Source organism: Homo sapiens, chromosome 2, assembly GCF_000001405.40.
Source record: "Homo sapiens chromosome 2, GRCh38.p14 Primary Assembly".
NCBI classification, from domain to species: Eukaryota; Metazoa; Chordata; class Mammalia; order Primates; family Hominidae; genus Homo; species Homo sapiens.
The window spans coordinates 212,531,755-212,543,180 of NC_000002.12; the positions used below are offsets into that span (position 1 = coordinate 212,531,755).

Here is an 11,426-nt window from a genome sequence, read left to right on the forward strand (position 1 = left end):
TTAAAAGTGCTATTATATACAGATAGTACTGTGGGCTCCTGTGTGACTTTTAGGGAATTCAAGATTCTATGTCTCCATAGGCCTAACCAGGTAAAGAAATCCTCTTATAGAACGATGTCTTTAAAAAGTTGCTTTATTTCTTTACTCCTCATGTGCCATAACTTATCAATGCAATCAATGATTACTCTCCAAATATAAATTAAAGATGATCATGAGGATCCCACTGTCTTTCTTTTAGAAAGAACTACACAATATGGTAATTAGGAGTGTGGATCCAAGCCATTTGTCTTCATTTCAGTTTCTCAATTCTCTTTAATGCAACATAACCTTTTATTTGTTTCCTTATTTTTTTATGTGTCAGTGGTTTTTCAAATACTTCTATGTGTGCTACAGAAAATGATATTGGTGTCAGGAGCTGCCACTAGTTTATATTATCTAATTTCCTTGCGCTGTCAGTTTCCTTACCTAAAACATAAGATGACTGGATTACATCAGTGGTTTCTAGTGCCGGACTTCTATGACACCAGTGCAGGAGAGTAGAGGCAACAGTGAAAGGAAAGTGAGGGAATGTCAACGGCAGGGGCCTCAAAGCTGCCTCCTCCCTGCAGCTTAACTACACAGCTCTCTTTTTATTTTACCCTTTCAGCTGTTTTAGAAACTAGGGCTATGCCTATGACTTCACTTGGAACAACAACAACAAAAAAGAGGTCCACTTACAAAAATAATTAAAAACCAATAAACTTTTTTTCTAAAAAGTCTAAACTTTCCATTTCTAATTAATTGAATTATTAAAAACATTCAAGATGTTAATAGCTTAGGCATGACTTTTAGCTACACTAATAAAGGTAAGGCGATTGAGACAGAAGCAAGTAGTCTAATCCCAGATCACATAACAAATGATTGTATGACCAGAATCCAAACCTCCTAACTTTTAGTGCTTTATTCGCTAGCATCACACAATAGCAAGGCTGTTGCTGTACTACCCACAGCTAAGGCATGCACTATTCCTATTAAAGTCTATGTGGCTGCTGCCCCCTGGAGTTGTGCAAAGTGACAGGCCTGCAGAACAATTCAAAATGGAAATAACTCTAAAACAATTATTACATGCTACATAGCCTCTTTAGAATTAGTTAACAAAACATCCACATATTTCAACTCCATATTGTAAAAGGGACAGCTTTCCTCTCTTGAAAAGTTTGTATAAATATAAAGCACTAGTTTAAGTATCAAGTGTGAAAACAAGGAAGTGGCCTTAAATCTTGATTACAGAATTGGAAAATACGGCAATTTATTTAATAAATATTTCAGAATAACCAACAACTCAGAAAAAATAAAAGAGACCATAGAACAATTCTGAAAATAATATTTTGGGGAAATTGCCCTCAAATACAAATGCCTTTGAGTTAATAAGCTCTTTATTTCATTAGACAGGTACTCTTTTGATAGAGACAGTTTGCTAGAAAGTTTACATTATGTTTCTTAATATAGGTATACATGTTTTAGATTACATGTGCAATTTAGATTACATCTATAAAAACAATTTAGTGGAATGTATCTCAATATCAAAGACTTTAAAGTTATTTTCATAAAACTGTACAGTGCAGAAATAGTGCATTATATGCATTTCTCTCCCAGGCAGAGAAGCCAAGTCACAAAGAGATGCAGTGAGTTGCTGAAGGTATTAAGAAACTCGAGAACTGTCTCTGCAAGGTAGAAATCCTGATTTAAACAATGTGACTACGTCCCATGTCCCATTTAACCACAAAATAGGCAATTAAAGTCTCCCTCAAATTATGTTGAAGACATACAGTTTCAGGAAACATTGACCTACAATTTTTTCATAAAAAGGGGTTATTTTTCATTATAAACTGAAAACTCCAGTCAATAGCTGTATTAGAAATCATAAAAAGTAAGGTTTTAACTCTGACTGCCAATATTTATAATACTTCAGAAAATGAGTATTAGATAAAACATGTAATTTGGTTCCATATGGTGAAATGTAACATAATAGAGCATCTCTAAAATGATATAACCTGGAGAAAAGTTGTTAATATGATTAAATTCTACCCTGCACAGGATACTCAGTAGATCACTGTAAAAGATAACAGTGGAATATGCTTGGTGATTAATTTCTGTAGAACAGATGTAGGCTTGAACCTCTAAAAACTAATTTCAGTACAAATATTAGCATCTCAACAAAGCAGTATCTCTCAAAACTGGTAAAATTAAACAGAGCAAGTACCAACAAGTTTGTAGGTATCAGAAAATCCGTTTTGATCATTTATTTCATTTATGTTTTAGGCACTTACAAACTATACATGGATATCCAACAGTAGCAGAACACTATAATATAAAGCCAAAACTTATGGCTATTTTTAAGAACATGTTAACTTTTCCTAATAACCAGCTTGATATAACACAAAAATAATACCGCTTTAAAGCATTGCAATGTTTAAGCCATCCTAATTCAATTTATTGTCTAAAATATGCACTGTGCATAGCCATTAATCTCAAGGTGGCTCTAATCAAGCTTCCAAGAGTACTTAGAAAGAGCACAATTCATTGCCTCACTAGCATTTTTTAAATAGCAGTGGTCCACCTTCCTTCCTTGGTCAAGAGGGGAAAAGAAAGAAAGAAAAAGGGTAAGAGGGACTTCTCTGTGGAAAGGTTTGGCCTTGGAGTCAAGGCTTTTAAGATGTGCCAGTGATCTTGGATCGATGCCTTTTTATTTTCTTTCAGGAATAAATCTGAGCAATGGAATGGCTTGTGATTGTCTGGCCAACCAGCCATATCAGATTTATCAGAAAGAATGAAAACTGGCTCAGAGGACTCCTGCAGTGGCTGAGTGGCAGGTTACTGGGAAAGACACAAACAAAAACAATATACTTAGTGGCGGAAGGGAAAATATATATTAACACATGTAAACTCAATAAATACTAAGATGTAAAGAGAGAATCTATAGTAACAGAAAGGGTGAATGCATAAGACAGATGATAAATAGTACTTCTATTTAAAAACCAAAGGGATGAAAGCTCATGAATACTACATATTTGAATCCACTTTGAGGAGGAAATACGATTTTCCATCAAATAAATGCAAACTCTAAAAATCAGCCAATGCAAACTTACTGTGTTCAGGTTAGAATAAAAAATGCATAAATCTTCCACAAAGTTCATGCTCTGATAAATATTCTAATGTAATTTCTTAATTAAGACACATTTCCAGTGACTAAATGAAAATATATATATAAAGCAGTAAGTGCCTTGATTTTCAACAAAATTTCACTTTCTATGCATACATGATTAAAATAAATAAAAGCAGTTGAGTTTAAGAGCAAAAAAAAGGAATACTGATATAACTGGAGTCATTTCATCACAACAGAACAGTTATAGTATTTCCAAGCGATTTGCAGTTATACTAACAGATATTTATTTAGACATATTGTGAAGAAAAAAATAACACCTTCTTCTAAAAAGCCCCCTTTTATATATATATATATGAGAATTTCAAATTAAAAAGAAAACATTGTACCGATAGATGTGCTTACAGTAAACACTTGTAAGAAAGAGAATTGATGCTTTCTTGAAAATATATTTAACACCTTTTTCACCACTTAACTTTTATTAACATTTTTCTTCTCAAATGAAAAATAACCCCATGATTTTGGAGATATAATGATGTATCTTAAATATGTACGAAAGCTATATGTACTTTTATAGAATGAAAAGCAAGACTGAGTTACCTGCAAAAAAGAAATGGGAACTGAACTTGTTCATCGTTTATCTACTAAGGTATATAAGAGTACCACCTCAATGCTACTATACATTTTCTTCAATACCAAGGCAATATTGATAATTTTCCATTATACAAGGAAGACGAATTTTAGAACCATTCCTTTGGTTAGCAAAGGCTTTATAATTGCCATATAAAGGGACTTTGGCTATATCTAGATATATCTAAATAAAATGCATAATTGAAAATGAGACAAAGTCCTTTAGAATTTCTAAAAAACATCCTCTCTAATGCTGAATTTTTTTCCAAGCAAAAGAAAAAAGAGGTTCTCTTCTGTTACAATTAAGAAATATCTTAAAGATCTATACAACAGCATCCCCCGCCCTATATTTTTATTCTGTTCACATAGAGCAGTAAATAAGGTGCATTCCTTCTGCTTAAGAAATTAGCATTTCAAAAATATGCCACTTTCCCCTGAACTCCAAGCGTGTCTAATAATGCGAGAAGCAGATTGTCTTCCCTCGTTTCCTTAATTTGTTTCATCTAAAAGCAATTCACTCAACATCTTGTCGCCCTCTGGCAGCTTAGTTTACTTATCCGCACTTAATTTCTCATTTGGACCAAAACAAACTCCTCCAAACTGCTACTGACTGCTAACCGCGAGAGGGGAGACGCGCAATATGTATTTAGTTGGGAACACACAGCCACACACATACATAGGCACAAACACACACAGCCTCACTCATACCCCAGACAGTAACTTGTTTTTATAATAGCACTGCATTAAAACCAGCTGAACTTTCCCTGCCAGGTGCGGCAGGGTGGGGGTGGGGGAGGATGAAAAACGAAGTCCCCCGGGGCATTTACAGTTTCCAATGGATCACCTTAGTATGCGTGTTGCAATTATACCAGGGATGCACCCGAGAGCTTTTCTTTGTGCGGCCCTTTCATCTGGATCACTTTGTGTTTTGAACAAGTGAGGCTCGCCTTTGTGCCCCCAGAATTTCAAGTACAGAGTCACACACGGAACAACAATGGCACGCTAATCCTCGCGCTCTAAATGGGCTCACTTGTGGGTCTGACAATTCGCCCAGGGAAACGAGAAGAGACGAAGCGAGGGCGCGAGCTAGTGTCGCCTGAGACGAGGAAGAGGACAGCTGCAGAACTAATTTGGATTACATTCCTTGCAGAAATTCTGAAAAGGGCTTTTCGGCATAGCTCAACTCGGAGCCGCACAGTTAATACCAAATTGCTGCGGACTCGGAGCGGGGTCCCCCAGTGGCAGAGGCTGAACCAGACAGCCCCCAGTAGGTCGCCTCGTAGAAATTCCTCTCGGCTAAGCCTGCATGTCGGTCGCCAATGCCTTTGAATGGGTCAATGTGCATAATCAACCCATTGAGGGAAAATATGAAGGGACTCGAAGTGGGGAGGGAGATAAAAAGAGATGTATCTAAGAGGCCGCTTGGAATGTCAAGTCCGTGTTGGTGTGATTCCGGAGGTGGCTGGAGCGCGGGACCTGGTATGCGTGAAGAATTTCGGAGTAATTGGGAGGGTGCAAACGGCCAGCACAAACGCCTCACATGTGCCATTCGAAGGTCATTTTGAAAGACTCGATAATTGTAACTTGTTATTTACTAGGCAAAGGAGGCGGCGGCGGCGGCGGCGGCGGAGCGGGAAAACTACAGCTAGCCGTTTTCTTGGTGAGGTCAGAAGGACACCCTCCGGGGGCCTAAAGCGCTCCCTATCGCCACTCCCGGGGGCTTTATCACCTCAAGCTACTTCCCACGCTCCAGTCACCATCCCTGGATGGTTTCGGAAATCTCTCTGGCTCTCCAAAAGGCACCCCTTGGCCACGTCAAGACACCGGTCCTCCTCAGACCTCTCCCGTCCCACTTTCATCCCCAGGAAACTCTAGTGTCAGAAACTTTGAGCTCCATTGCACTGCAGGTGCTGTCATTAGTCCTGCAAGCCGTGGCGGGCCAGCCCCGCCGCGCTGCCTCTCGGGGTCAATTAGCCCTTTGCCTGCCCAGGTACCTGGGGCTCGAGCTCTCCAGCAAGCAGTGGCCGCGCACCCATCGCCGCTGCCGCTTTCGCCTCGGGTGGATCCAGTGACCCGCAGGCTCGGCAGCCTGGCCGGGCAGTAAACAGACAAGTTTGAAGGACTCCGGCCAATAGCAAGTTGAACTACAGGAAGAACTCTTCCCGGAGCCAAACACGGCAACCGACGGGAAGGCCGGGCTTCTGGCTCAAGTGTGCCAAGCCTTTTTTTTTTTTTTTAAGAGGTCAGGCAGGCGAGTAAGCGCCCCTCAAGTCAATGGGGAGAGGGCTCCGGGAAGCCGGCGGAAGAGGCCCAGAACTCCGGGCCCCGGACCGAGGCGCGCCCGCCTGCTGCACTCCGGCTGCCCGGGCTGGGCGCGAGTTGCGTCTGACGCCACAAGGCTCGGGCGACTGGGGGCGCAGCGGTCGCCAGCAGCACACACAGGTGCAAAGCCCGATTTTCTGAGCGCCGCTCTCCACCGCCCTTCGGGCTCGGCTCGGGAGAGGCCCAGCCAGCACCGCCCCAGGACCGCGGCCCCGGCGGTGCGGGTTCTGCCCTCGGGGACCCGACAGGGACAGAAGAGTCTCCTCTGACTGGGGATTTGGGTCTCCCATGTCCCGAACAACAGGCGCCACCAGAAGGGATCCCGCTTAGGCTCCCAAACAAAACGCTCGGGAAAGAAAAGCAGGGGGTTAAGGAGAGAAAAGAGGGACTCAGAGTGATTTTTCACGATAAATAAAGCAAACGCACACATACAGGGTAAGTTTCAAATGGAAAGAGGGGTGACCGAAAGCCCAGGGAAGAGGCCCCGGTCAAGCGGTCCCTCCACGCCTCCCGGGATGGGTGAAGAGGGCAGGGGAGCCACTCGAGGCAGCCCCGCCGGCGGCTGCAGGTTCGGCGACCGGAGTGCCAGAAGGAACCCACCTGACTGAGAATCGCTGGGCTGGACGGTCCCCGCCGCCACGAGAAGGCTCACCCAGACCCAAAGTCCTGTCGCCGGCTTCATTTTTTGGAAGTCTCAGATCCCGTGCTGACAATTACATGTCCAAATGGCATATCCCCCTTTCGGGCACGCGGAGGAGATCCCCCAGCCGGGCGCGCGTGGGGGTGCGAGGGGGGCGGGCGCGGCGCGCGCGGTGTGGCGACTCCCAGGGCGGGCGACCGAGTCCGCGCCCGCGGGTCCAGGGCCGGGGCCCGAGGAGGGGGCGAGTGTGAGCGCGTGTGTGCGCGTGTGGGAGTGTGCTCGGTGTGTGCGCTTGGCGCTCTGGGCCGGACTGTGCAGCTATTTCCCCGCGTGAGCCTTCGCTTGCTCGCTCCCTCCTCACTTTCTCTCTCTCTCACTGGTTGGTCAACAATAAAAAAGGAAGGGGGGCGAAAGGTTTCCAAAAAAAGTTGATTGCAAAGAGGCGGTAGGTTTCCGGCCTCTCCCCGCAGCCGGGCTATGTTCTGCTCCTTCTTCAGTTTCCTTGCACCTCCAGTCCAAATCGGGAGGGGAGCGGGGCGGGGGGAGCTTCTCGCTTCTCCCCGGATCCCGTCCTTCTTTTTCCTCTCAGCTTTCCTCACACTTGTCCGGCGGCTGCGGTAATTAAAGCTCCGAGCGTCATTTCCAGCGCTCCGCGGTCTCCAGCTGCAGCCCACAGAGAAATTAATAAGACTCCAGAAAAAAAAAAAAAAAAGGTGCGGGGGGCGGTGGGAATAAAACAACCCTCCACGCAACCAGGCCGGCTCTGCTCAGCCGCGCAAACCCCGCCCATGCTCTGACCCAACTAGCCACGCCCTTCCCCCCCCCTTCCAAAGGGAAATCTTATTGGCTCAGCCACTCCCCAAAATCCTGGGCCTCCGGAGTTGGGAAAACACCTGTCAGGGAAAGGGAGCCTCTTGGTGGGGGCAGGGGAAGCTGGATTTAAAGGGCTCACCGAAGCCATGCACTGAAGCACTCGTCTTCCCTCCCTGGCAGAGGCCTGGGACAGCTGGCCTGCTGAGTGGACGGACCATTGGAGGGCCGCTTACGGAAATTTTTTTTTTTTTTAAACAAGAAAGTCAGCATTTTCTCCGTTGCCCCACGGTGCTCATCTACAGACAAGACTTTCCCTAGAAATAAAAGTCAATGTTGCTTTCAGCAAAAAGCCTCCGCCCGCAGTACTCTGCCACTCATGGTCCACAATTAGAAAGTACTTTAAAAGTGTGTACAGCAAGTAACTGGTAGCCCCTGAGGATTAGGTAGTGGTAGGGGTATAATCACCGCCCCGCCTCCCGCCCCCAGTTATGCCATCTCTCCGATTACTCCCACATTTCTAAACTGACCAACATTGAGCCAAACTAAACTTTCACATTTATAAAGGCATATCCTTTGATTTTTAGATTTTATGTTTTTTTTTCACCTTTGGAGTTCATTCTTATTAAGCAGATTCTAGTCCAAAGCCACTGATTTGATCTTAAAGGGCTAGAAATTGTCCCCAGCCTGAAAGAATTTAAGGAGGCCACATCAGAACATAATTAACCTTAAATGATTCTGTTTATTCTACAGTAGACCCAGCTTTAGGCCCCTTCCTTGTCCTCACTCTGCACATTCATGGTCCCTAATCTGGAGGTCATTGCTAGTTACGAAAGTCTCTGACCTTTTCTGAATCTAAAATATTCTGGGACTGGGTCATTTCAATGTACATATCCCTTGCCTTTTACAGCTCTGAAACCGCACCCTGGCAAGGGCCAGAATCTGCTGGGGGTAGTTATTGGTTTGCTATTTGTACAGGCATTCTATGTATGAATCACTTTCCTTTTTTGGTTTTTCTAGAAGCAGCAAATATATAAATAAAAAGTATCAGGGGAGCTTAAAAATCAAACCACCCTGCCTTTCATTTGAGACCTTGATCTCCATTTCCCACTCTCTTATCTATAGCCCCATCCCTTAAGAATTTCCATGGAGCTGAGAACAGATAGGAGGTACAGATGCCTGAAGCCTGAAGCTTTCCCTTTCTTAGACCCACAGCAAATAACAGGCTCCATGAAGACGCCCAACAAGCTGAGCGTGCGGTTTTACCAGAAGCAGCCTAGGGCAGAGAGGAACTAAGCCTAGAGCAGATGACGGAGACTTGACCAGAATGGTACTGATTGCAGCAAAACTGTGCACACTGCTCTTTGGGATTATCTTTGTTTTCTTTTCTTTTCTTTTTTTTAATTACTCTTTCTCTCTGTTTTCTCTTCTTTCATTCAATCTCTTCTCATTCCCCTTGTCTTAAATCCTTTTGAAATTCTCAGGCACCTCTCTTCCATAAAAGCTACTTCTTTTCAAAACTTACTTTCTGTCCCTAGAATGACAATTTAAATGAGAAAAACATCTTCCTTTTGTAAAAGTTTAAGTCTCTGTAGTAAAAAAAAAAAAAAAGTCTGGTTTCTGATGGCAATTATGTTGCACGAAGTGAAGGAATGGGCCAGGTGTGGTGGCTCATGCTTGTAATTCTAGCATTTTGGGAGGCTGAAGTGGGAGGATCCCTTGAGGCCAGAAGTTCCAGACCAACCTGGGCAACATAGTGAGACCTCAACTCTACCTTTTTTTTTTTTTTTTTTTAATGAGCTGGGTATGGTGGTGCACACCTGTAGTCTTAGCTATTGGGAGGCTGAGATGGGATAGAATTGCTTGAGCCCAGGAGTTAATAGTTACAGTGAGCTATGATCATGCCACTGCACTCCAACCTGGGAGATAGAGCAAGACCCTATCTCTGAAAAAAAAAAAGAGAGAAAAAGAAAAAGAAAAAAAAGACAAAGTGAATAAATGAGTTGCATATTTTCGCTTAAATTGTAGGGCAAAAACTTCATGGCCTGAATATTTTGGATTTTTTTATAGTTGTGCCAATTATGTTAGTTTTTGTTCCCCTGTCAATTTTATAGCTTTTCTATAACAGAATATCTTCTATATGCCCTGCTCTCACCCATATCTTCTAGAATAATTCTTGACAAAGGAGGATTTTCCATTAATATTCATTGGTTTAAAAAAACACTTAGTATATATTTTTGTGGATATTAAACAGCCCATACAAGGATTCACCTATTACATTACCCAACATACCCACAGTTTCCCTCTAATTCTGTTTGTTCTGCCTTGATCCCCATTTTACTCATTCTAACATTGAAACAACAATTTTAGATATGTGGCCACAGATGGGTATCTGAACAGCAGCCTATAAAATGATTTGACATCAAAGCTTTTGCCAAAAAAAGCATGATATATTTGATGGTGCCTTGTCTACCCAATCAGATTCCAGCTCAGATAATTTGAAATGTAGACAGGAAGGTAGTACCCTGTATGGGCAAGCCAAAGGATGAGAAAGAAGCCATGAGCTCAAGTCAAGAATCAGTTATTTCAGTGTCTACCCTCATTTGCTTCCCATCTCATCTAAGTCATTATAAGAAACAAATACCAGAGTAGGGAATATTTACTAGCTGATGTAGAAAGGACATGATACTTGGATTGTTAGAGGCCAAGATGAATCTCTGTATTTCTTTACTTTTCCATATAGCTTGATAATAAATCCCTATTAGGGGACCTAACTAGAATGTGTTGCTGTTACTCAGAACCTGCATAAAAATTATGTGGGTAACACAATGTGTTACTTAGCAAGCCACGGATGAATACCTGGAATTACCTGCTGAGTGCCCATTTTCCAGAAACAGCCCTTTCCTCAGTTCTACATGTTTAACTTGGATCTACCTCCGTGCTACAACAACTCCCACTCCCTGGCTCTAAGTTGGATCACTCAAAACACCAAGTTGAACCAAGTAAAATGCCTTGCTCACTGTTAATTGGATGGGACTTCCACTGAGTCCTTTATCTGGCAGTTTTTGTAAATGAAATAAAGAGTTTATATCCAGTCTTTCATGGATAGCTTTTGAGATCTAAAACTCCACATCTAGTTTTTCTTTCCTTCTATATAGGAATAACCAGGCCGTGGTAAGAATGAAGCTACTGTTTGAAAGAATCAAAATCTCAGATGGATCTGGAGAATATTCAAGCTCTTCCTGTGGGTTAGTTGTTCATGTCCCCTTTTGCCTTAAGCTAGTTCAATTTTCATTGTTGTTACCTGAAACTAGAACAGTGTGAAATGGGACTAGAACTTCTCCAACTTGAGAGAGATCATAGAGGTCATTATGCCCTTGAGAACAATATCTTGCTATGGCCCATATTCTTTTGTTTTCCTTCCAGATCTCTCACACTTTCCCTTGGTTGAAGCTGTAACCCCAATATAGAGATGGCTTTGTCCTGTGATGCTCTTTCATATCCCCTTCTCCTCTTCATTTCTTCCATTATTAACAGAATTCAAGGAGAGTCTTGACATAATGAGTGACAGAATGCTGCTGTTTGGAGAAAGGAACACATTGAACTCAGAATTCAGTGTAAAATTATTATACATCCCTGACTTTGTCCCAGAGTCTTATAGTTCATTCCAATCTTCAGCTTGTTTCTAAGACTTCCCTAAAGGTCATATTAGAGCTTGCTGCTGTAAATATTTTGCGATCGGCCATAAATATAAATTTGTGACAAATGTCAAGTAAGAAAAGTAAACAAGACTCTATTACAAACCAGTTATCTTCTCAACATTTAAAAATATATAATTATAATTTCACTTCTTGTGCCTTATCTTCCTCCTCATCTTTCTAA

At 42.6% G+C, this 11,426-nt stretch overlaps 1 protein-coding gene across 10 annotated transcripts in view, besides 1 other annotated feature; it reads right to left on the minus strand.

Annotated features, from left to right (window-relative positions):
• Positions 1–7,048, minus strand: part of ERBB4 (erb-b2 receptor tyrosine kinase 4) — a 1,163,086-nt gene extending 1,156,038 nt beyond the window's left edge. For all 10 annotated transcript variants that reach the window (NM_001042599.2, NM_005235.3, NM_001439006.1 and 7 more), the window contains exon 1: positions 6,695–7,048. In NM_001042599.2, the coding sequence (NP_001036064.1) occupies positions 6,695–6,776 (82 nt within the window). In that variant the 5' untranslated portion in view covers positions 6,777–7,048. The remainder of the gene's footprint in view (positions 1–6,694) is intronic.
• Positions 5,579–6,079: an enhancer, noted in NCBI's record as "H3K4me1 hESC enhancer chr2:213402057-213402557 (GRCh37/hg19 assembly coordinates)". NCBI's record gives its function as "activates a minimal SCP1, AML or CMV promoter by ChIP-STARR-seq in primed H9 embryonic stem cells {active_cell/tissue: H9 hESC(primed)}" and the evidence as "EXISTENCE:reporter gene assay evidence [ECO:0000049][PMID:30033119]".